The sequence below is a fragment of the Homo sapiens genome, chromosome 11, assembly GCF_000001405.40.
Source record: "Homo sapiens chromosome 11, GRCh38.p14 Primary Assembly".
Classification (NCBI taxonomy): domain Eukaryota; kingdom Metazoa; phylum Chordata; class Mammalia; order Primates; family Hominidae; genus Homo; species Homo sapiens.
This window is the reverse complement of record NC_000011.10, coordinates 80,737,210-80,764,687: the sequence shown is the minus strand read 5'-3', so window position 1 is coordinate 80,764,687 and position 27,478 is coordinate 80,737,210. Positions and strand designations below refer to the sequence as shown.

General features: G+C 36.4%; 1 long non-coding RNA gene across 1 annotated transcript; it reads left to right on the top strand.

The window, feature by feature from the left end:
* Positions 1-1,884: 1,884 nt before the first annotated feature.
* LINC02720 (long intergenic non-protein coding RNA 2720) lies at positions 1,885-13,488 on the top strand. The gene is made up of 3 exons (NR_120570.1): positions 1,885-2,710; positions 4,114-4,204; positions 12,858-13,488. It is a non-coding gene; the product is annotated as a long intergenic non-protein coding RNA 2720 (long non-coding RNA).
* Positions 13,489-27,478: the final 13,990 nt, after the last annotated feature.

Below are 27,478 nucleotides of genomic sequence, written 5' to 3'. Positions count from 1 at the left end.
TAAGCAAGGATTTAAATTTCACCTGTTTAATTTCAAAGCTCAGTCTATCCTACCAGTATTACCAAAAAATACTATCTATAGAACATCTGATTTAAACAATCCCCATGTACTTGTTTAAAGTGCAACTTGCTTGGCCCCACCCCACACATACTGGGTCAGAATCTCTGCGGGATGCATGTCACAAGTTCCAGGAATATCCAATTCTAACAAGTAAGTCCAGGTTGTATTCATATACACTAAAGCCTGATAATAATTTCACTTCACCTTGAGTATTCTTGCTCTCTCTCAAAATCTCAAAATTATATAAGACTCACCACAGTTAAGCATTTCAATTCATCACAAAGACTTACTAATTTGGCTTTATTCACTATATCTGAGAGGGTTTTTTCTTTAGAAAGTGGAGAAATATCATTTTAGTTTATTATTGCATAACCTGGAACTTTCTTATTCTGTCCTCTCTCTTACAAATTGCTTTGTGTATCATACTGGGTCCTTTTACGCAGTTTAAATGAGGCTTGGAACAAAATAAGGTGAAAAGACCTAAGCAACATCATCATACATTGCAATGTGCTTCTTTCAGAAAGTTATAGGTGGAAGAACACATGACTAGAGGTTAAAAAAATAAATTTTAACACTGGGCTTCTCACTGTTTCTGTAACCTGTTGTCAATCCCTCTGGTTCATCTTTTTCTAATAATAATAAAAACCATAATTTATTAAGCTTACAAAATTAACTTTCTTTTCTACTTCGAATGAGGCATTGGCTTGCAAAAGCCAATTCAGAAATTGTTTGGCATTTCCTCCAAATATTAAACATATATGCACTCAACAACTTGTACACGTTATTCATTATTTCAAAAAATGGAAACAAATGTACATGAACTGATGAATGAAAAAGTAAAGTGTGGTATATCTATACAATAGGATATTATTTGACACCACAAAAGAATGTAGTATGGATACATGATAAAACACGGATAAACATTTTGCTTAGTGAAAGAAGCCAGTTCTAAAAGATCACAAATTGTGTGTTTCCATTTATATGAAATATTCAGAATATGCAAAGCCATAGAGAATTAAAGTAGGTTAGTGGTTGTCTAGTTGGGAGGGGGATGACAGAGTGTGTGCTAATGGGTAGAGGGTTTCTTTTTGAGGTGATAAAAATCTAAAATGGACTCTAAAATGGTGGTGGCTGCACAACTCTACAAATATACTAAAACTAATTGTACATTTTAAACAGATGAATTGTAAGATATGTTAACTGTATCTCAATAAAGCTATTTTAAAAAGTAAGGTATTAGAAAATAATGTATTAGGCCAGGCGCAGCGGCTCACGTCTGTAATCCCAGCACTTTGGGAGGCCAAGGCAGGCGGGTCACAAGGTCAGGAGTTCAAGACCAGCCTGACCAATATGACGAAACCATGTCTCTACTAAAAATACAAAAATTAGCCTGGCATGGTGGCACGTGCCTGTAACCCCAGCTACTCAGGAAGCTGAGGCAGAAGAATCGCTTGAACTCGGGAGGTGGAGGTTGCAGTGAGCTGATATCGCGCCACTGTATTCCAGCTTAGGTGACACAGCAACGCTTCATCTCAAAAAAAAAAAAAAAAAATAGACTATACAGGAATTGTGCCTATGTTGTTTTTACTTGAAGCAGTTGTTCACAGCATCAGTAAGCTCTTTTATTATTTTTAGAACAGAAACTTATTAGAAGAGCAATTTACAGTTGTTCTGAGTGTTGACTAAGAAGTCTGGAAATTGGAAAATATGCTAATAAAAATATCAGGGTCATTATATATGGTTTTGGAATCTAGGCCAATCAGTATTGGTGTGATGTAAGTCAGTTCTGGAATGCCATGATAAAGGAAACTGAAGAAGGTCAATCTAGAATGATACTTGCTGGATGGATTGAAAAAGTGAAGCTTTAGCAGCAAGTAGAAAAACTGAAGCATCAGTTGCAGTAACTCATCCATTGAGTGAAAAGGTTCTTCCCATGTCCCTACTCTCAGAAATGCATTCTGAAATTTCGAAGAAACAAGACATTACACAAGTACATGGCTTCACTACCAAGGGGAAGGGCAAAAGACCATCTTTGATTTAATTCCAGGCTTCAGTGTCTAATTCTGTGGCAAAGATAGCTCATGAATTCTTTGTTCCTCTGCCAAGCGCAACAGGGATAAGTAGCCTTGCTCTGGGAATATGAGTTTGATGATTGGGTTGCATGAACCCTGGAAGCCTGGAATATTCATCTATTTTCACATTCTTCTGTCCCTCCTGACTGCAGCACTCCCCAAACCTACATGGAAGAGCTAAAATCAATTCTGGTAAATCTCATCAACTTCTAGGACACTGTGGTAGATTTCCTTCAGTTTAATCTCTAGCATTAACTGGAAGAAACATTTTCTTACTCAGTCACTACATTTGTCAAGAAATAATGCTATGGTTGAACACTGCACGAAATGATAGAGATTAACAGTAGCACAATACTAGACATTTCTTTTTTGCTATTCTACTTAATGCCTGATGTAACCTCATGAGGTGGATGTTGTACTCCTGACTTTAGAGATAAGAAAACTGAACTTTTGGGAGGCTAAATAACTTACTTACAGTTACATAGTCAAGAAATGGAGATGGCAAGAGTTCAGGCCTAGGTTTGTCTGATTGCAAATACTACATCCTTTCTATTGCTTCACTTTGTTTGGCTTTAAAGGTAAGCTTCATAAACAAGCTCATAACAACCTTAAACTTTCAGAAAGAGTCTTAGCAAATTATGGTTCAGATAGCAAGAAGGGCATGAATAAAAGTTTTGACACTGAAAAGAATGCTAACATGGACTAAACACTAATTAGGTGCCAGGTGATTTCACAACAATAACAATTGTGAAAGTTAATTTTTGTTTAGGCTACAGATGGGGAAAATGAGGCACAAGATAGCAAATTAACTTGGTAGTGTTTGCTTTTTTGCTTAATGGTATTCTGCCTGTCCCTAGAATCTATGTTCATTCTAATATTCATGCTGCATGTGTAGAAAAAGAATGAAAAGACTTGAGTTGGAAAAGAAAGAATTACAAATCTAAGTAAAGCCGCAACAGTTGATAGGGTACATATTGCTAACAGTATCAAAGGCCAATGTGAAGACCTTTAATTTTAATTTGTAAATACCTTTTCAAGAAATAAAGGGGTTTGATCTGCCAGAGTAGTTAATGTATTTGAGAGTGTAAAATTTATGTTGGATTCACTGCCTCCAGGAATTCTACAAATTTTGTGATTCCATGCTCCTTATTCTACACATTTCTTTGTAGCAGATACTGACGTGTTCAAGAGCTGAATTAAAAGCCACATACCATTCAGAACTATGTACCATAGTACCATAGGAGATAAGATTCTCATTCAACCTGAAGGGTAATGTGTTTCTGGGAGACCTTCTGGTGCAGACCATGTCTTGGCTATAACTTCAAGATCCAGTCAAAATTAGTAAGGTCCAAGACAGGGGATGGAGGGAAGATGATAAGGAAGGGGAGGAGTGTAAGGAGATAAGATTATTGTTTAGTTACAACTTTACTCATCTATCAATAGGAGCTTTCTGGTCAAAAAAGGGTGGCACCATTTCCATTAAGATAGGCTTTAGAAGGTGGAGTAATTAAGCAAGTCATATTCAGATAAAAAAGTAGACAATGGCAAGTCAAAGAGACTTATAATTATTGACTCAAGAGAAAAAAGTATGGCAATATTTTCCAAAGTGGGTGATGTATAAGGTAATTTACAGAGAATACATGAGTTTCCATGCTCAAATAAATTAGGAAAATTTATAGCTAATCAAAATTAAACTGGTTTCTTGACTGTATGCCTTTTTGTAACTTTTATTGCCCTAATATGCATTTTAAATCTCTAAGGGAAAAACATAATATGCAGTGTTTATTAAATTTATTTGATCTCAGATCACTTTTTTTTGTAGAGCAACCTAAGGAATTAATATTCAAAGGGACAGAAATTTGGGAATCACTCGTTAAAAGAAAGGTCTCTGATATCTAACAATATTGGGCTAAATCCCAACCTATTAGGCATGACTGTAAAATCATGGGACAGTTACTCATACCTTTACCTGATTCCCCAGCTGTTAAATGAGAATGACCATAATACCCCAGAGAACTTCTGTGAGGATTAAATGGATATGCAAAAGCTCTCGACATAATACCTGGCTCAAGGTAAGCACTCAATACATGGTTGCTGCTAGTATTATTGTTAACATATTTCAAAAAAAGAAACAGAAGCTTATTGTTATATTCAGTGAAGTGACATTAAGGAGAAGGGTATGAATCTTATAAATATTCATTTTGCACAGATGCTATACATCATTTTAATGCTAGCAAATTTAAGGTAGAGAAGTGAAGGAAATTGTGTTGAGATTCAGAAGGAAAAAAAGACAAAAAAAACAAAAAAACAGTCTCCCAGTAAGAGGCCAGCCAGTAGCTGCTTTCTTACCAGAAGTGCTGAGGTGGTTAAATAGTGTCCCTATTATTGCAGAACTTAGTGCAGTTGGTGAAAAGACATCTAGATAATTAAGATGTTATGTTTTAATCAAGAACAGGGTGAGTGCCAGAATCCACAACTTTAAGATGTCATTTCCAAAGGCTGACCAGTAACAGCTTATAGAAAGTGTGGCAGGAATTGCTGGTTTTCTCCTTACCAACACTCTTTCCTCTAACCCACCTCTACTTCTTTTCCTCACTTGGATTGGATGGCATTGAAGGCAGGGCTTTATGCCAGGGGATAACTCTTGGATGCGTTAATTATACTTTATCTTCTTGAAAAAAAAAGATGGATAGAGTTTGATGCAGCAAAGATAAAAAAATGATGGTTCTATATAGACTGAACATTTCTTTATGATTTCTGGATTCATTGCTTCTATAGTATTAAACAAATGAAATCAGTATTCTACCTTTAATGTGTGTTGATTACTAATTTGAAAATTACAATATTCTAACCTGAATAGTCTTCGATCCAGGAAATCTATTATCTGTTTAAAATTACTATTTACTGGTTCTCCAGTTTCATTGCATTAACTCTCTGACTTGTTCTCTGTTTTTTTTTCCTACCCCCATACTTTCAACTGAAAGTCACTGGATTAGTAGGCAATCTTTCAAGGACATACTATGTACATTTCCAATCCTATTAGTGCTCATATGATAATGCTGCAGTGTGTACAAGAGCTCTTTCAAACCAGAGGACACACATATTTTTGAGTGTTCAGATCTGTTCCAGGAGCTACCCCAAGAATGCTACATTTATATATCAACCATTATCAATATAAGTTCCTTTTAGATTACTGCTTATTTATTTTATTTTTTTATGCCTGTTACCATAGTTTCCTTTTTATTATAATAAAGATCGCTTCACCTTGGAAAGTTTCTTAGGATAGCCACTCTATGGGCTCAAATCCATTAGCGCTGTTTGTTAATTTGGAAATGGACCAAGTTCTTGGCCATAGTTTCAGCATTAAAAGTGCATCATCTTTGATGGGGAAGATAAAAGTAGTCATTGCTGTGGCTTTATAAAGTTGTTAGACTAGAATATCAAACTGTTTCACAGCTATTCTATTACAATCACAGACTAAAAATATCTTCTTCTTTCCTTGTTCTAAATGTTTTGATAGGCAGTGATGTTTTCACTAATGCACTCTTGTTTGATGGCTTTACTTTTACTTGTGTCAGTCTTGGAAACAGAAAAGGAGAATCAGCATATTTCTGTATGTATCATATGCCTGTCAACTTCTACACTATGACTCCTTTACAGACATACAGTTTAAGAATTTTAGAATTCATCTATTTCTGTCCCTTAATTTTTTCCTACTCATCACCAAAATAAAATTCAAAACCTTTAGTTCGAAATTTCAGCTTATTCACAATGTAGCCCTTCTTCTGCCCTCCATCTCCTCGTATTCCATGCTACAGACAAATAGAATACCCCCTGTTTTCAATACACACCATTTAGTAACAGCATGCCTTTACAACTCTGTTATTTTGGTCTGAAATGCCTTCTACTGCCTTCTTTTGTCTGACTAAAATCCTACTGAGCTTTCTTACTCGAGCTCATATAATAGTCTTACCCAAATGAGCTCAGTTGTTCCATCTTGTGTTTCTTTTCATGTGTGTGTTTACATACCTGACTCTTCAACTGGACTGTATTTTATTTGAAAATAAAGATCAAATCTTGTCAATTCTTCATGATCTGTCTCTAGTTCTAGGATGGAAATAAAATATTTCCAAATTTAAATCTCGGTTCCAATACTTATAACACTTATAACACTTATTCTATGTGCTTTTGAAAAGGATCACTGAACCTTCTCCTCCTCTGTAAAACTGAGGTAATATCTAAATTGCCAAGGAACCCTTTCAAAAACCAGACTTTCCAGTTCTCTTAGATTAAAAAAGACTCATTATTCCCTTATGTGTAGAGATCAACTGTCATAAATTCTATGATCTTCTCTGGTTATAAACCCCAGCTTTGTAAATGCTATCCTCCTGGTTCAGATCCTTAAAGAACTACATAATAACTGTGTTAAGGCTCTATAATAAATAAACTGATTATCAAATGGATTGGCTAAGTGTGAACTGTCTATTAGAGATTAATATTTATTAGCAAAACTACTAGTAAAACAAAGACATTTTAGAGTAATTAATAATTTACTGAAGATATCACTTTGTATCATTATCTAGATTGTTTTTACCATCATACACTAAGATGTTCCAATGGATTTAACTTATTTGGATTGATTGTTTTCAAGAGAGACAGTACTGTATACTAGATAAAATCATGGGTGCTGAAATTAGGCCTCGGTGCAAACTCTTGCTTAGCCACATTGTGGCTTCATGACTTTAGATGGGTGACTAAAACCCCTGAAACTTCAGTTTTTTCATTTGTAAAATAATAATCCTTATGATTTCTATTTTATAGTATGTTGTGAGGATTATAAAGAACATATAATTATAGAATTCAGAGTAAGTTGAGCACTCAATCCACTGTTAGATTTCCTGTAACAAAGTTCCTTCTCAAGCTCCACATTCATCAACTGAAGTTTACGTTGCACCAAACCAAAGATACATATGTGTGTGTGTGTGTGTGTGTATATATATATATATATATATATTTTTTTTTTATGGCAACCTTTATCTTTTGTTTTGTTTTGTTTTTTCTTTCTCTTTGAAGGACTCTGTTACACAGAAGGCAAAAGCATAAGATTAGATTTAGCCCATCCCTTTCCAGACCATAACTCAAGAGTTGCCAAGATCTGCCAGTTCTCCTTTGGCCAGCTCTGCTCCCGCGCAGTAAATCCAGCCTCTGTGAGCAGTACCATATCAGGACCACCTGTCATACCTCACTTCGATCATTCTCATACCATCAGCCTGACACTGCATTCTACTCCCTCCCTTTCAAATCAGCTTACATCCTACCATCAATTATATATATTCTGTCTCACAAACACATTTCTTCCTTTTTTTTTTTTTTGCCTTCTATGTTTTTACTTATTTTGTCCCTGGAGATTTCAATTTTGTCCTCCCATCCTCCATGCTGCTTATCAAAAATATGAATTCTCCTGTCTTAAGTTTTAATCTTTATTGAGTGTTTGCTTACTTTGTGTCAGCAGGTGTGCTAGGTGCTTTGACAAATGCTATCTAGCATATCTGCTTCTCACAACCACCGAAAACTCTCATTAGGTGAAAATATTATTATCCCTTTTTGACAGTGAAGAAATCAAGGCTGCAAGAGGTTAAGCACTTTGCTAACAGTCATAATAGCTGTAAAGCTAGGATAAGTCCAGGACACTCTAATTCAATAGTGCTGTCTCTCAAGCTCTAAGAGAAACTGCTGTATTGCTCAGGATTCTCTAAAGAAACAAAACCAATATGAGATACACACACACACACACACACACACACACACACACACACACACAGAGAAAGAGAGAGAGAGAAGAGAGAGAAAAATAATTATTTTTGGAACTCTAACAATTGGCTCATGTGATTACAGAGGCTGAGAAGTCTCATGATCTGACATCTTTAAACTGGAGAACAAAGAAAGCTAGTAGGGTAATTTAGTCCTAGTTCAAAGGCCCAAGAACCAGGAAGAACAATGTTCCAGGATAGGAGAAGATGGATATCCCCACTCAAACAGAAAGGAAATTTTCTCTTCCTCTGCCTTTCTGTTCTATTTAGACCCTCAAAGGATTGGATGCTGCCAACCTCATTGGTGAAGGTCTTCTTTACTTGTTTACCAATTCAAATTTTAATCTCTTCCACAAACACCCTCATAGACACACCCAGAAATAATGTTTTACCAGCTATCTGGACATTCTTTAGTCTAGTCAAGTTGACATTCAAAATTAACTATTAATACTCCCTTGCCTTGAGTGACTTGCTCAAATTTTCCTTTTCCTGATCTTCTCTGACAACTTTTCTTTTTTTCTGTATGTCTGTAACCAATTTATATATATTTTACAGGACTTGTCATATCTTGTTTTCCAGTGCAGCTTTTGCATGTATAGCTAATCTTTTTTACTGTGTTTTTAATTTGATGAGAACCTACACCATTTCCTTTTCAACTTTTATTTCTTGTGGCATCTTGCACAATCTTATATACAGCAGGTATTCAGTAAACGTAGAATTGAACTAAAATGAATTACATTGATTGCATTGATGCAGTGTTCACAGTTATTTAAAAGCAGAACCTGGAGTTGAACTCAGGTTTCTCCTAAAACACATTGTCCTTAAAACCTCATACTGTGCAGAGAAAACAGATGTGGATTTTGAATGTACCTCTGCCACTTAGCAGGACTGTGTCTTTGGGTGAGCCACTTCACCTTTCCTGATACATAAAATGGGAAAATAATACCTATATTGCAGGCGTGCTGTGGGAATTAAAATAGAAAGCATATGTAAAGCATTTAGCATATACTTGAACCCTCCTGGCAAACAATAAATGATAGTTGCATTCAGTCTCGCCTTTGTATTGCATAACTATATAAGAAGTAGAAACCACAGCCTTGTTTCCAGTGATTTTTTTTTTTGAGACATTGAAATGAGAATGAGAAACTCTGAGTGAACAAACAGAATTGCTTGTAACTAGAGTGACTGTCAAGTCTTCTGTGAAGCATCAGTGACCTTAGAAAGCTCTCCAGGTATATTGGAAGAACAGTGAGGCAGTTATAAATTACAACTAAGACTGATAATCCCCAGTTCAGTTTCATTCCAATTAAGCTTTAAGTAGTGGTTGACAGAAAATGGTTGGGAAAATAAAATAAATAAATAAATAATAATTAAAAAAAAAAGCTTGATCCAGAACAGAACATTAGCGTGAACCCAAGAGCATTGGGATTCAGATATGTGAGGCTGCCTGTGAAGTGGCCGTCTTATGAAGAGTGACACAGACCAACTCTAACCATGAAAGACAAAGTGGCGACTAAAACAGGAGATAATATTCAGAGAAGGACATTCACAGAAGAGCCATCCCACTCTGTGTTTTACCCTGGCACATGAGGCACTTTGGTCTTCTCTATGAAGTAGGTATTCCGGTCTTCTGCCCCCTAAATTTTATAAGAAAGGAAATAGAGCAGATCATCTAATCTCTGCTAATAGGATATCCATAAAGATGGCTTCAGGTAGGGACTATAAGTTTACATTTTAAACAAATGAACAGTGCACTATGGAACAGAATAATATATCAGATGTAACTTAGAAATCTACTAAAGATATATTTATTCAACAGATATTTGTTGTATTAAAGTATCAGAGGAACAGACTCTGATTTATCAGAGGGACAGAGGTCATAGCTATTGAATATATACCAGGTATCAAAAATAATGTTGTAAATTTAGATATAGTATTAAAAAATATACCATGTTCTCAAATATCTCGTGGTATGTAGGAAACAAAGATAAATGAACAATTATAAATCAGTGTGAGAAGTGAGAAGTCCTCTGCTACAGAAAATTACTAAAATACCTTTTTTTTTTTTACATTATCTTAGGTATTATAGTAAAGTTTCTCTTTTAACCCATTTAATTTTTCTCAAAACTTTATTGGGTAGGTACTATTGTTTCCCCTAGTTTAAGATAAGAAATTCAAACAGAGAAGGGAATCAGATTTTGTATAAGCAACAAGATATCAGAGGTGAAGTTTGAGCCTGGCTTCAAAGTCTGTACTTTTAAATTCTATATATACCATACCCTTAAGATGCTTTTGGAAATAGCGTTGCAAGAGAAAATACAGTATATCAAACTAAATTAAATGCAGATAAACAGCGAATAAATTTTAGCTTATGTATGTTCCGTGCAATAGGTGGTTTATGTTTATATTTAAAAATATGTGATGTTTTGCTGAAACTTAAATTTGATTGCATAGTCTGTAGTTTTATTGGCTGAATCTAGCAACCCTACTGGAATTATAAAGGAGTCTTGCCATGGCATAGGAGAGACCAAAGATAGAGATAAAATGTTTAAGCCACTTTATTTGATTTGAGAGTCATATTTTTCTTTGATTTTATTCCTTGGTTGCATTTTAAATTTATGTGGTAAAGATCATGTTGCACCACGTATTGTTTTCTGCCTGATTTCATTATTATTATATCAAAAGCATATTCTTATGCCAAGAAAATTGTGTAAAAAAGAAAGATAATAGAATGAAGATAATAGAGCATGTCTCATTGGTTACTCTAAATTAAATGATGTAATGTACCTAAAGTCTGGCTCTAATGTATGGCATCTAGCAAGTCCCCAGTAAAAGGTGATATTGGATATAGTGGAGTTGTTATGTTGGTCATGAATATTAATGTTTTTGCTATAGTTATTACTGAAATAGTAAAGTGATAGTATTGATTCTCACAATAAAATCCTAATATAGCCAGGGCTGAGAAAATGATGATCATTTTCATGATGAAAAACTTATCAGAGGAACAAAAGTCATAGCTGTGACTCAGGTCTTCCCCATCCTAATTCAACTCTTAGTCTTATTATCATAGATTTAGCATATATGGATATAATGGTTAATTTTATGTGTCAACTTGACTGGGCTATCTCTGGGCTATATCTGGATGCCAGATATCTGGTTAAACATTATTTCTGGGTGTGTCTGTAAAGGTGTTTCTGGAAGAGGTTAGCATTTCAGTTGATAGACTGAGTAAAGCCAATGGCCCTCCCTAATGTGGGTGGGTGTTATCCAATCCCTTGAGTACCTGCATAGAACAGAATTGTGGAAGGTTGAATTAACTCTCTTGAGTGCTTGAGCTGTGACATCAATCTGAAGCTATCTATAGTGGTCTTGTTCTCAGGCCCTCAGACAGACTGAAATCTATACCACTAGTTCTCTAACTCTTAGGGCTTTTAATTACACTGCTGGCTTTCCTGCTTCTCCAGCCTGCAGACTGTAGAAATTCTCAGCCTCCAAAATCTCATGAGCCTGCATCTTACATTAAATTTATCTATCTATCTATCTAATCTATCTATCTATCTATCTAGAAACAAGTAAAAAGTCAAATGAACAAAACCCAAACTATCTATACATAAATTACACTGGATTTAATATGAATTATTCCTATACTGACAGATTGTTTACTAGTAAAAAACTGGTCAAAGTATAATAAGCCTATTAAATTCAGCTGATCCTGAAATAATACATTGTCTCACAAAAATTCGAAGAGAATGTGCGATAGATATTAAAGTAATCCTGGGAAACATTTTATTAAAATTAGAATGTTTAAGTGAAAATTCACTCATTCAGAGAATATATTTGAACATCTTTCTGTATTAAAAATTTCATTACAAATGGGACCTGTACACAGAAACATCAGTTTGGTTTATTATCCTTGAGGAATTTATAATTGGAGGAACGGAGAAACATGTAAAAGAAATAATCATGACCTCAAACGCTGCAGCTTTCCAAGTACTCTTTCCTTAGCTATCCTTATAGTAGTCCCAGTACTCTTAGGTAGTCTAGTTCACCCTTCACATACTTTCTGAGGATCCTGAGACATTCGTACATTTTCTGTTCTAGAAACTCAAAATCCCAATAATACTAAAATATATGCAGCTCCCTGGCAAAAAATGGCATGCCTCAGAGCCTTTGCTTATACTGTTTTGTCTGTCTAGAAAGCTCTGCTACTTGGCTAACTTTGTCAATAAAGTCTTACTAAAGCCATTTCCTTTTCTTAGCCCATTCAGTCATTGCTGTCATGATTGATTTTTAGTTATTATTTATCAGATAATATACGTAAAAAGTAGCATGAAACAGGCGGGAGGATATAGGCTTAAGTGTTTACTCATCAGTGTGCCTATCCAGATGATGTTAATTACTATGTAGTTTCCCTAAGCCTAAGTTTTCTTATCAGTAATTTAAAAAAATATAATTCTATAGAATTAATATATTAATAATATATTAATATTTTATAGAATTAATATATTATTAATATATTAATTCTATATAATTATTATGAAATCAAATTAGAAAATCTGAAATGCTCCCATGAGGTGTATAGTACAGATTAATTTAATAAACAATAAGTATTATCATTTATTTTATTAATGAAGTCTGATGAGGAAGCTGATTGAAATTTATAAAATTTTGAATAGGCTGAATTTTAAGTAAAATGATTTTGTAACATTCATGTAAGGCATAGAAATTCTTCTGAAATTGGCCAACAATCTAATGGTAGCTCTTCCTACAGAATAAACAAAACTCTCTTGTTCTAGTAATCTATTGCTCTGAAGCGAATCATCTCAAAACTTACTTGCTTTAGACAATACCAGTCATTTATCTGCTCACAAATAAGGTAGAGTTTGGCTGAGACAGCCCTTCTTGGATCCACCAGACATCTGGGGAGGCATTCAACTGGGACCTGCAGGATTCGCTTTCAATGTGGCTCACCCACATGGCCAGGAGTGCAGACCAGGACCAGCTGTTTCTCTCCACATGGGTTTCTTCAAGGACTTCTTGGGCTTCTTCAGAGCATGCCAGCTGGATTTCGTGAGTAAGCATCTTAAGAGACAAAAAATGGAGGCTGCCAGTTTAATAAAGCCTGTGCCAGAAACTGGTACAGCATCACTTCCTCCATACTCTTTCAGTCAAGCAGTCATAGGGCCCAGATTCAAGGAGAAACGCATAATCCCTACCTTTTGATAGAAACAATTTTCACTTGAAAACTTTGGGGGTATGTTTTAAAAGTATTACATCTCCCAAACCTCCTGGCAGTCAATGCCAGAGCCAGGATTTAACTGCAGGTTTATTTGATGACAAAGCCCATTTTACAAAGACTAAAACAGACCTGAAGAGAAATATAGCAGGTTTAAGTAATTTCCCATGGGGAAATGAAAACTCTGAATCCAAAGTCCTTAAATTAGCTACTACACTATGGTTCACAAGATGAAATGCACTGGTGCATGGCAGTGCATTTTTAAATTGTGATGCTTTCTATCAATAAACTCTTTGTAAGTAAAAGTAAATTCTGATGTAGACTTGTGGTTTTAGCCGTACGGTCTAGACTACTATTATGAGCTAGAGAGGTAGTTCCAGTGTCCTTTGTGGTTAGATTGGTCATATGACTGAATTGTAGCTAATAAAATATGATCAGAAATGATATATACAACTTGTAGCCATGAACATAAAACAATTCCACATGTTCCTCTATGGGTTTTGCTCCTTTCAACTTGGGAAAGGAGATGATCTCAAGGGCAACCTCGGGAACTATGAACTGAGGATGCCAGAGCTGTCACAGTCTTGAGGAATAATCAAATGGTAAAAATAATAACTTATGAGTGGCTAAATGATATTCAGGTTAAATCAATTCACAGTCATCTGTTTCTTTGCAAACAATGACTGTTTTGCCTATGTACATGTTACTTGGATTTAGACTTCATTGGGTTGTACTCTTTCTACAATTATAGCACCTGGCTTCTCAGTTAAAATGGATTTTTCAGTGCTAGGTCATTGACATGGTTTGGCTGGGTCTCCACCCAAATCTCAACTTGAATTGTAATAATTCCCACATCTGAAGGGTGAAACCAGGTGGTGATAATTGAATCATGGGCGCAGTTTTGCCCATACTGTGCTCGTGGTAGTGAATAAGTCTCACAAGATCTGATGGTTTTATAAATGTGAGTTCCCCTGCACAAGCACTCTTGCCTGCTGCCATGTAAGATGTTCCTTTGCTCTTCCTTTATCTTTTGCCATGATTGTAAGGCTTCCCCAGCCATATGGAACTGTGAGTCCATTAAACCTCTTCCCTTTAAATTACCCAGTCCCAGGTATGTCTCTATTAGCAGCATGAGAACAGCCTAATACAGTTCATGTATGGATGGAGTGTAATAGACAGTTATCTATGGTTGGTCTCTTAAAGATACTAGGCTAGTGTGTGAGGCAACTTATAAAAAGAATAACTCTCAATAAGGTTTGTAAAACTGGACAAAGAGAAGAAAACTGGGATCTGGTAATACCTGGTGGATTTGAGAGTTTGGTTTGACTCTGAGCTTCCTAGCAGCTAAAGCGAGAGAGAGAAAAAATAGCTCTTTTATTAGAAAAAAATCATTTAAAGAATAAGTAACTATTTTGAATCTATCAGTTCAAACAACTTCTCCTTTTTTTGTCCACGAAACTAATAATATCAAAATATTAGTAATGTAGAAATGATCCAATTATGTGATTTATTCAATATAAAAGCTATAGAATTTGCTTTAAAATTATTAAGTATTCTGATCAACTTTGGATGTTTCATACAAAGTACATATTTTGAAGTGAGGTAAGGGGAAAGATTTGCTATAATATTACGTTAAAAAGAATGCTATGTTAAAGGCTTTTAGGGTAACCCCCAACCCCACAGTGGGTATTCTTTGGTACAACCAACAATAAACAGTAATATTTATTGAGGTATGTATTAAGTACCTATTATAAGCCAAAACAAAGTCAGTTTGTTAAACATTGCCTTCCTTACTAGGTAAGCATTATTCCCCTTATGCAGAGGAAACGGAGGTACACAGAGTTTAAGGGGATCGCTCAGTGTGTTGTTGTGAGCTTTGAAGGGTAAGCTGTGGAGTAAGCTAGATCTTCCTCCAGAACCCACAGGTACTTTTATTTTGTGTGTACACAGCACCCCTTTTCTACCACAGAGCATAGAGTACATGAGAGCATAGAAGTCATAAGAAGAATGAAAGAGAGGAAACAGGACAAGGAGTGACTTAAGATGGAGAGGAAGGACGAGTAGTGTATTTGCAAAGGAAGCCAGAGCCTCCTTCTTATCCCACACTCTTAGAGGGCTGTGTTTTCCACCAAATCATCAGTCCAGAACTCATCGCTCCTTCTTTTCTGGGATTATTTCCAGGGTCTTACCTTGGAGGTACTTCTCAGGGAGAGCAGCCAGGTGGAATCGGCTGCTGGCTGTGTGGCTGTGTCCTAACTAGCCATGAGAGCCCTTTGGACACTGTGTCCCCTTCAGTGACATGAGAGTCCAATGAGGCAGTATTGCAGCCTTCCCCACACCATCTTCCCTGTAAACCCACATGTTTACTGTCTGCATCGACTATTTAACTCTTGGCTTCTGCTGTCTTGTATTACTATTGCACTGGGTAAATACTTCTACCTCTCCCCTCCCTTTCCCTTAGGGAGAGATCATGGCATAATACATATATTGCTATGTATTCTTATGTATTCCTATGTATTCCTGAACCTTCTAGTATATACACTCCATGTAGTAAGTGCTCACTGGGTGGAACTGTGTAAAACGGTACACAAGCAAGACAGGATTTGAAGACCTTAAGGTTTCCCATTTCACTATTCTCTCAGCATCAAAATGTGAGGATTCACATAGTGTTTTAGAATGTACAAGTGATTTCACTTTAATAATTTTATGCGATCCTTACAACAATCCTGCCAGGCAAGCCATAGTGATTATATCTATATTACACAAAGAGGAAACTAAATCTTAGTGTGGTTAATTAACTTGGCCAAGGTCCCATAGCTGGCTTATAAAACATTTCTTGCATGAATGAAGGAAAGAAAGAATGAGGCACAATTAGGACTTTAGATCAATTCTCTGTGACTTCATATTCAGTGCTCTTTCCAATACGCTGTTTTGTCACTTTGACATCTTGGTTAAACTAATTTCACGGAAGAATTTATAGCTTAAAATAATTTGAAATGACACAACTCAGTGGTGGTAGGAGGGACAAGGAAAAGAAGAAAGCACATTTTTATTTCAGGAAAAGATACTATCTTTCAGGGAGCACAGATGGGGCAAGCTGGTATGAGGCATATGTTTGGCAACTGGAATGTACATGCTGTCACACCCTAAAAGTAACACAGCATTGTCACTGCCTCCTCCACTTATTAGGTCAGCCTTTGAAGAACAAATTTTCTATTTTCCTTATTTTCCCCTCATTAAAATCCTTGTAAATATAAGGTGAAAAGTGCCCATAAACAATTTCTGATCTTTCTCCCTCTCTCAGCTCTATGAATAGAATTGTCTTTTCCCTAAGCTTTAATCAGTGTCTCACTGAGTAAGTAGTGATAATCAAACCGATTTTTAATACTTTAACCCATTATACTTAATTGGGCTCTTAAGTTACAGGAATAAATAGAAACGGATGAACCTTTAAATCCCTCCGCACTAAACGCTGTTTACCTGACTCACTTCAATGAATCAATCTCCCCATGTAATTCTCCCCCTCCCTGCAGCCCCCTTGAAAAAAATAAGACCGCAATTAAATGTACGGTGGTGGATCATTTCTTGCTGGCAATAATTATATGGGAGAATTTGAATCTCATCAGAAGGTCTAATTTGAAGTAATAAACCTTCTTTACCTAAAGTCAACGATCCTGCTCTAATGCTGATGATAACGCAGCAGCCTAAAATAACAGACCGAGTGAACGAAAGATAACCATCACTCGAACTTATTTCTGAGCATGGGTATAAAACGCACTTATGAGGGAGACTGTTTCTAACTCTAAACGTTAGAAAAATAATTTGTTTAATGTGTTGAGTGTTAGAAAATATCACTGAAGACCCCAGACTAACCTTGAAGAGGTAGAATCTGGGCTGTGGTAAGTGACAGAAGTGCAGCTGGCGGAGACTGATGGTGTTCCAGGCAGAAGAGATGGCAGAGGCCAAGTCAGCAAGGTGAGAGGCCACACGGGAATGGTAATGAGTCTTACAGGACTCAGATATCTGAAGGGAAAATGAATTGAGGTGAAGGCAAGCCTTCTCATTTTCTCCACTTTTAGAAGGTTGCCTGAGGTGTTTCAAAGATTTGGCTGCAGGGCTGAAATGCCTTGGGTGATATTTTTTTTTTTTCTTTCTTAATAATAAGAACAATTAAATGTGGCCCAACTGGAGAATGATATGAATAGATCTGTGCTTTATACAGAGCTGCTTTGGCTATAGAGTATAGCATAGAGAAGATAAAAATTAGAGTTGGGAGGAAACTGTTGCAATTATCTGAGAAAGGTGAGAGGCTATGTGGAAGAGTGCCTACTATGCTGTAAAGTTAAAATTCTCGAAAATGAGTGAATACTCTGTGAGAATGGAAGAATTTTTGGAACCAGAAAATGATCACAATTTCAAAGAGGAAGATAATTGCCTTTCTTATATACATAAGAGGAGAACCAGGTTGGAAAAGGGGGCAGTAAGAGGATTTGTCTTTACCAGAGTGATGTAGAAGAATGTTTCCACTCTCATGCAGAGATGTCAGAGGATGCTGGGCAGGTGGTGTTAGTCATTATGAAGAAAACAGGGCTAGTTGTCAGTGGCTACTGGGAGACTAGAACAAAGCTGTGAAACCAAGTCTATGTAGAATTATGAGAGAAAAAAGGGAGAAAAAAGTATGCCGCCTTGAGAAGTGTCTAAATTTAAGGGACTGACAGAAGAAGAGGCAGGGAACAAGAAGCTTTCGTTTTCTCGAGAGTTAGGGAAGGGACCAAGGAAAGAGAAAGAACTTCCTGCCAAGAGTTCTGGTAAGAGAAAAGATGAGTAGATTTGGCAATTAGAAGACCACTTATCGTAAAATTTAAAAGAGTAAAACATTACAAAGGGAATTTTAGAAGCAAAGGCCTGCATGTTAAGATTTGAAACATGTCCTTTAGAAAGTTCATAGTGAACTTAAATCATTTTTACCAGATGTTCGACAGTGAAATGGAAAGTGATAGACCAGTGCTGGTGAGGCGTGTGGGAGGTGCAGATTGCAGGGCAGATTTGGTTGCTATTTTGATTGCTTCCTTTGTTTGGCTATTTAATAGGATATTTAAATTGGTATATAAGACAAAGAGAATGATTTAAAAAAAAAGGGATTGGAAACAACATGTATTACACATTAAAGATGTTTTATCGGTTAGGCATTTGTATTGACTCTCACATAAACAACCCAATTTAATCCTGACAGTATCAAGAGGAGTGTAGCACACACATGTTACAGCTGAAAATGATGCGCTGTGATGTCAAGCACTTTCCCAAGGAGATGCAGCTAATAGTTGCCAGAGCCATAATGATATTAGGTCAGTAATCAATTTTTCCTCTTATTTATTCAATCCACAAATTTTCAATGAGTACCAATTATGAGCCACATGCTGTCCTGGGCCCTAGAAGTACAGTGGTTAACAAGGTAGAAATCATCTTTGCTCTCCTAATAAGTTAGTCTTAAGGGACCGCCAGAGGGTAAATGCACTAGCTACCTCTTGGTTATTCTAAGGTAAATAATTCACACAAGACAGGTTGAACCTGAAGGTGTGTGACTGAAATATGGCATGGGAAGAGGATGTTTTCAAAGAATTATCTTTCTAAAAGAACCATTGTTACAGCTGTGACTCTGTGGCCTCAGAACTTGAAATACGGCCCATCTTTCTCCACCTTCATATTCAGTTTTAGTTCTCTGAACCCTTCTCTCCTTCTCTTCTCTCCGCCTGCACTTGCATAACTCTCTGCTTTGCTTCTTTGCAGGTGTTGTTCCCTTTGTCTGGGACGCCCTCTCCGTATGTATTAGTCTGGAAAACTCCACTTATCCCATCAGCCTCAGCTCTCACCTCTTCCGAGACCTTCCCTGACATCACTAGGCAAATATAAATGAGCCCTCTGACCATCCCCTTTGTGCAAGACTCAGGTTAAAAAAATGACCCCATGAGAGAGTGTTAATATTTCTTTCCTCAATTAGAATCTTGAAGTCCAGAACTGTGCATTTCCATCCTTATATCAGAATGTCTAGCACACAAGAAGCACTGGGAAATATGTGTGGAATAAATAACTGAGCATGTTGATAAAGGAGCATATATTTTTAATATCCATAGAAGTGCAAATCTTTGCTGGGTAGCGTTGTAGGAATGTTTTTCCACATGTCATGACGACATTTGTTTTGCATTTTAGTCCATTACCATAATAATAACTCTCCATTTGCAGCTTATGAATTTGAAAATAAATTGCCTTCCCTAGGAAATAGGAGAAAATACTATTAAATGGCCATAATTGTTATTACTTTGTCACCTGTATATTATGAAATCTGAATAGAAAAATTCAACTAAAAGAACTGAAATGCTTAGTTCATTATTGAGTATGCTTTCTTGGTGGGATAATATTTTTACAGAAAATATTTTTCTATTCCATTAAACTGTATTTAACAAGAACATGAATATACTGAGGTAGGCTTAAAAATATAGCAGAGCAAGTCAAATGCCAAAAATTATCCCAGCTCTGGAACTAAAACTACACAAAGAAGGGAGTAATGACATTGGGAACAAGGGCTGGATGTGGCTTTGATTGCTCTCTGATACACATCAGTGCATAAAAACAGTCCAGTATGTTTAGAATGTCTTCCTTTCCTCCAAAAACTTGGCTAATTCCCCTTCCACCTATTCCTCAAGGCACACGTATTCTGTGAAGCTTTCCTCATATTCTCTCGGACAGTACTTCTATTATTTTGCATCTATCTCATTTTGCTACAATAACTTATAGGTCTATACTTTGTATTAACTGATGAGCTTCTCGAAGTTAGGGACATAGTCTTATTCATCCTTATATTCCCCAGTGCCTGGTATATTGCCTGCTCTATGGAATATGCTCAGTAAATATTGAAGTGACAAAGCCCAACCATGGTGCTAATGATTGGAAGTAACTCAACCATCATAAAGTTTCTGACCTTATTCTGAATTATGTATTTGGCTGGTTATAAGAAAACACTATATAATACATTTTAAATTCCTTGGAAACGGAGATCATATCATATTCAGCATTAAATTGCTATTACTAATTTTTTAAGAAAAGAAAGGTCCTCCCTGTACCATGTACAACTATAACATCTATAAAATATTATTAATACTGTAGAAGAACTTTCTCTTTCTCTCCTGATTTTCCGAAACTCCTACCTCTCTATTTCAGTTGGTAAGTGAATTGTATTCTCACATAATGCATATATATGAAGAAAGATATAAATATTCATTTTTCTTCTTTTTTTAGTATTTAAGAATTGTGTTTTTGGAAGCACCTACTATGTGCTGAGTATTTTGCATAAATTACTAGTTTTCACAACGCTGCAAGGCACGTATCATTTTGGAGGTTGAGAACTAATGGCTAAGAGATGCTAAATAATTTCAGAATCTGAAGTGTCAAAACACCTCTGAAAGAATTCAGTATTGAATTCAGCTGTGAGAATAGTTGGTAATACAAATACTAACAATTGGTATGGTAGAGATATCAACAAATTACAATAGAATGCTTTCCATCTCAGGGTTCTAGAGCTAACCTTATATCATGAGGAGGTATGGGGTATTGAGAGAGGGTTAGGCAAGGCAACCAGAGTTGGCATAGGCCACTCAAAGTTCTTGAAGCAGGAGATATTTACCAACCTACAATATTTAGACCATACATATGTGTCCTACTAAATATCAGTTATGGTTAAGAGAAAAAAATAACATGTAAATAACTTGTAGGTAATATAGAGGGAAAGAGATTTCTTTTCTCATCTAGGTTCATAGCTGAGGCACCAAGAAAAAAGGCAGATTAACAAGAGGAAAGCATACACATTTGTTAAATATTAGTAATATGGTTTGGCTGTGTTTTTACCCAGATCTCATCTTGAATTGTAGCTCCCATAATTCCCACATGTTGTGGGAGGGAACCAGTGGGAGATAATTGAATCATGGGGGTTGGTTTCCCCCATACTGTTCTCGAGGAAGTGAATAAGTCTCATGAGATCTGACGGTTTTATAAGGGGCTTCCCCTTTTGCTTGGCTCTCATTCTGTCTTGCTTACTGCCATGTAAGACGTGCTTTTTGCCTTCTGCCATGATTGTGAGACCTCCCCAGCCATGTGAAACTGTGAGTCCATTAAGCCTCTTTTTTCTTTATAAATTACCCCGTCTTGAGTATGTCTTTATCAGCAGCATGAAAACAGACTAATGCAATTAATTTTACATAAGACAGGAGCCTTCAAAAATGAAGACCTAAAGAAATAAAAAAAACTGTAGGTTTTTATATTAAGTTTGATGAAGAGTAAATGATCATATCGCTGTTAATTGGAGGACAAAAGGGTATGATCTAATGTAATAAGCTGGGAGGAACTTGGCAAGGCCTGTTCAGATTTCTCTTGGGGTCTCTAAGTCTTTGACAATAAGAATGTTATTTTCCTCCAGATATAGGAAGGAAACCTATGGCATGAAGGTTTTCTTCAGAGAAAATTCAGAAAATTCTTTTAGGACCTGCCTCCGGGGAGAAAATGAGAGCAATTTTCTTGCTTCTGCTGTTTCCTCAAATGCCATGGTGCCAAATTTTGGGATAGTGTGTCCTTAACTCCATCAGTAATTAGGCTACCCCCAACTTCTGAGTGGTAGTCATTTGAAAGCAGTCAACATCTAGATTTGCACATATCTTTCAAAAATTTTTATTCTCTAAGCTATCTTGGGGAAAAACTGAACAAAACAACAAAAATATATCGTACTCAAAAAAGAGCTCTTCAAATCAAAGGCCTAGAGATAGTAAGAATCTGATAATTCAAAAATCCTGAGGACAACTATGGCAACATTTGACCTGACTTGATTTAAGAGATTGGTACTGTTTTTTTTTTTTTTTTAAAAAAAAAAAAAGGAAGAGAAGATAATAAAAAAAATTACTTCACATATTCAAACTTGTACACCTACACTGTTACGCAAAATTTATCCCTAGAGAACTCAGAAATTTTGAGCTATTTACCGTAAGAGAAAAAATAGCTTAATCATGAGACAGTTGTTTGTCTTACATGTTTTTAATAGAATCAGGCAAATCTTTTTACTGGCACCTTTTCCATATTCTACTCCAAGATCTCTGGTTGGGAGTTAGAATCCTTATGATCTAGCTCATAGCTTTTTCATTAATAAATGGTATAATTGTCAGATGAACACTACCAATTTTAGCCTCAGTATCTTTCTTATCAATAATTCAAAGGAATGATTTAGACAATCTTGCATTTTTTTTCTGGTATGACATTTTTATTCTTTTGGATTTTTAAATTTTCCTCCTTTTATTCCAGGAAATTCCATCTTCATTATCTGTGTTAGATATTCTTCCTAGTGCTACGAACTGAGAAACACTACAATGATGTAGACAGAGTCCTAGGCTGAGAGTCACATGACCTAGGGTTGAGTTCAAATTTTACAGAACAACAAATGTGCAGATTGGAAAACTATTTCTAAATCAGCAATGTAGAAGAGCATATGCAATAGTCAATGCCTATATGTAGGAAATTTTAAGAATATTCTTTATCGTTGGCTAATAAGAGAAGGTATATTCTAATAGCATAACTTCATTGTTTATTAATTGCATGTGCATTTGGAGCATGCTATCTAATGGGGGAGGGAAAATAAAGCTAAGGTTGCAGTCCAGTATGATAATTCCCAGAAACATTTTATGCACATAGTCTTCTGGGATTATATGGGGATGTCTAAGGCCTTTATAAACCAGATATCAGAAGACAATGAGTTTGAAGAGTTCCAACTGGAATGTTGTACAGAGCTTGGAAGATGACTAAAAGTTCACTGGATAGGTAAGGGAGGAAATGGCATTCTGGGAGAATACCTGCAAAAAATTGGAAGTATGAGACAATTCTGAGTTCAGGAGACATAAAACATTTTGAATATTTTGGATGGCAGAATCATGGGATGGTATAGGAGTGTGACAGGAGGTAAAGTTATACTCCAAAGAAAATTCTAAGCCCTTTATATAGCCAAAAGTATTGGATTCTATCTTGATGATTATAAGATATTGAAAGATTTTAAGCAGAAAAGTAACCTGATCTGGTGTTTCAAAACAAAAACTACAAAAGGAACCTGGTTATGTCTATGCCTGAAAACTCTCCCCCCTCCATTATTAGATAGAAGGAATGTTTTATAGTTCCATATTCAAAATTAAAAAAAAAATTGTGAATGTTTTGAATACACATGAAAACATTTTAATATATTCATGTTTAGGAATAAGAAGAGTTATAGAAATCTCCCATACAGAAGAATTCTGCCTAATTTTTGTAGATACTCTGCCCTCATGGAGGTGGTATAGAACTCCCCATTTCTTAAATGTAGGCTACACATAGTAACTTCTTTCCAAAGAGTACAGTATGGAAAGGAGGGGAAGGAGAGAGTCACTTTACAGTGAAGAAATCTGACAAATGCTACCTCAGTCAGGTAGTCAAGGTGATCATTAGCAATGATAAGTCATTTGATAAACATATACCTTTGATATGATGTGTTGAGAGAATGGTACTTTATCTCTGTGTTCTTCCTCTCCCAAAGCCATAACCCTGTATCTAACTATGAAAAACAGCAAAAAATCCAAATTAGAGAACATTGGATGAAGTATCTGACAGGCCTCCTTAAAACTGCTAAGATCATCCAAAACAGGTAAAGTCTGAGAAACTGGCACAGCCAACAGTAGCCTAAGGAGACATGACAACTAATTATAATGTGACATTCTGGATGGGATCCTGGAACAGAAAAAAGACCATTAGGTGAAACGAAGATAATATGAATAAAACATAGAGTTTAGTTAATATTAAAATATAGATATTGGTTCACTAGTTCTAACAAATGTATGATACTAATGTAAGATTTTAATAGTAGAGGAAACTGAGTCTGGAGTATATGTGAACTCTGCACTATCTTTGCAACTTCTGTAAGTCTAAGGCTATTCTAAACTTTCATTTTAAAAAAGAGAGTTGCACGTGGACTTGGTTCACCGAAACTCTAAGTGCCATTTAGTGATCCATTAATGGATGAGGGAATAGAAATTATTATCAAGAAAAACAAAATTAGCATTATGAAGTGCGGCTGTAGAATATTGTATTAGAATGTGTCTTTTTTCCTGAAATAAATTTTTAAAATTGTGGATGCTCAGGGCTTTTCTAAGAGCATATACTTTGTGTGAGATAGACACTAGACCAGGAGTCCCAGATCTTACACTGAGTGGCCTTGAGAAAGCTTAGTTTATAGTTTATATGTAATATAGGGATGAGAAATTCTCTGTCCATCTGAAAGTGATCTCATGTCAAAAAGTAGACCTTAGAAGCACTATGCCTATTTACAAAGAGCATTTGAGGCAAATAATTTGAAAACCTATGTAAGAAGTTTACAAATTGTAAAATGCCAAAGAGATATAAAAGGAGACCGTCTAGATTTCAATATCTAACTGTCTCACAGACACCTTTACCAGTAGTTTGAATATCCAAGACGTAATCATCTTCCCAAATCAAATTCTGTATAGACTGTCAAAATAGGTCCCTCATTTTCCTCGTGCCAACTGCATGCTTCAGAATTTGTTAAACTGTCATAGAAAATAATATTACATTTAATTTAATTTCAAGGAGATCTTCTAGTCTGCCTGAAATTAGGCCCCTCTCCCTCTAAGGTATTCCTACCTAAGAGGTGCACCTTGGGCCTCATGTGTGCTCAACACTAGTTGCTCAGGTTTGCTGTCCTTGCTGTCTGCTCCCTGATGACCCTCCTTTATGAAAATGAAACTCCAGTGTACACAGAAGTTTTTCTTCTTCACTTGTTCCAGTGAAAGGATGCAAACCACCCCAAAGAACCAAAGATCAGGTTGTAATATTAATAATTATTTTATTGAAAGTCTGACCATAACAGAAAAGGAGTGCGATGCAGGGAATAAGTTACAGCTCAGACCCAAGCCAGGACACAGCTTGGCGTGCCTTCCCCACTCGGACTTTCTGCCTCACCCCTGACCTGCTTCCAGTGGCTGGGCCTAGTTTACCAGCTTTTTCTGAAAATGCCTTAGAAATCCCAATAGCTCAGAGTGAAAGTCAAACTAACTCCTGGCTCCAGAAGGAAAAGGTGACTTTTCTTCATTTTAATCTGGAGCCTTCTTTATCAGCTTGCTAGGGCCATCATAATATAATACCGCAGACTAGGTGGCCAAAACAACAGAAATGTATTTTCTCTCAGTTCTGCGGCTAGAAGTCTGAGATCAATGGACTGGTTTCTTTTGAGGTCTCTCTTCTTGGTTTCCAGGTGGCTTCCTCGCTGTGTCCCTACCTGGTTATCCCCCATTCTGTTTTCTGTGTCCTAATGGCCTCATCTTAAGGGACACCAGTTATATTGGATTAGGGCCCATCCTAATGATGTAATTTTACCTTAATTACCTCGTAAAGGCTCTGTCTTCGTATACAGTAACATATCTGTGGGGACACAATTCAGCCTGTAACACCTTTCTTCTGAGTGTTCATTTTCTGCGGCAGGACAGTTTTTGCTAGGATGTCTGATAGTATTGATAGGAATAGCCATTCCCTTCAGAGTTGACCTTATCCTCATGTATAGGAGTATGCTATAGCTCTGTAGTTTCAATTAAAAAAAAAATAGCCACATGATAGAAATAAGTATGTTATCCAAAGCTTCCAATCTTAACTGATAACACATTTTGCTACAAATTGCTTATTTTGGCTGCACTACAGGCCATGTAGTGTAGGCCCGTTTCTACACATGTAGGCCCGTTTCTTTTTAGAGTTTCAATTTCAAAGTTTTGTAGCATCTCCAGTTCACCTCTTCACCGTTGCACTTATCATGTAATATTGTAAGTATCTGTTTACTTGTGTGTTTTCTTAAGTAAACTGTGAACTCCTTTAGTGAGACTGTGTTAAGCCATTCTTGCATTTCTGTAAAGAACTACCAGAGACTTGGTAATTTATAAAGAAACGAGGTTTAATTGGCTTACAGTTCTGCAGACTTTATAGGCAACATGGTGCCAGCATCTGCTCAGCTCCAAGGGAAGCCTTGGGAAGCTTATAATCATGGCAGAAGGCAGCGGGGTAGCAGGCACATCATATGGTGAAATCAAGAGCAAGAGAGAGAGAGAGGAGAGGTAATGAGGGAAGGTGCCACACACTTACACAGCCAGATCTCAGAAGAACTTCCTCACTATCACGAGGACAGCACCAAGGGCATGGTGCTGAACTCTTCATGAGAAATCTACCCTCATGATCCAGTCACCTCCCACCAGGCCCCACCTCCAATACTGGAGATTACATTTCAACATGGGATTTGGGCGGGGACAAATATCCAAACTATACCAGGGACTGTGTTTTATGGACTGTGGAGCACTTAATGCAGTGTGCAACCCACAGTCGGTGCATAGTAGGTGCTTAGTGGGATCACAACACAGTTCACTTAATGCTTCATTCAATAAGCGCATATTGAACACCAACTCCTTGCTAGGCAGCATAATAATGGAGGAGAAAAAGCAACTCATCGTTTACCTGCCCTTATCTCTTACAATACTCAGTCTAACAACCCCAAGACAAGTTAATAGGTACTGTCTCCTTTTCTATCTGTGTTTCCTCATGGCATTAGAATTGTCATAGGTATCAAAATTCAGTTTGAGTGGCATAAAGGACAGAGCTATCAAATTAGAACAAGGAGATTAACTATTTGAGCTAGCTGGACCATGAATCTCTAAATTCTAGTCTCCACCTCTGCAGATTTAGGAACTAGCCATCTTTTTTTTTGTGGCTTCCAGCTTGGACATTCTGTATTATATAGAAAAAGTTGACATTATTGTGAGAGGAAGTTCTTGAGCAATTTCATACGTATCACCTGACTGAGGGTCTGAATGCTAAACACTAAACTATAGAGGGATTCTTACAATAGACTAGTACCCCAGCAAGAGCCCACAGGTTTTCTTCTTTTAATTGAAGGTATTTCACAATTTTCATGCAGTCATTTGTTTCACACCTGAGTGATTTAGAATAACTCTTTTTGGTATTCCCAAAATAGGAGCAAAAAGAGAAACAAACAAAAAATCCTCCTCTGCTTGTTCTATTGAACAATCTGCTCCTATTATACACCAGAAAGAATCAAAGACTATATTATTATTTAATTTTCAGACATAAATTTTATTATGCAGTTTTGCATAAGATGTCTATAACTTTTAGGGTAGACCAATCTAAACCAGACTCCAAGATCTTTCCTATCAGGTCTTCTGAGGTTGGCC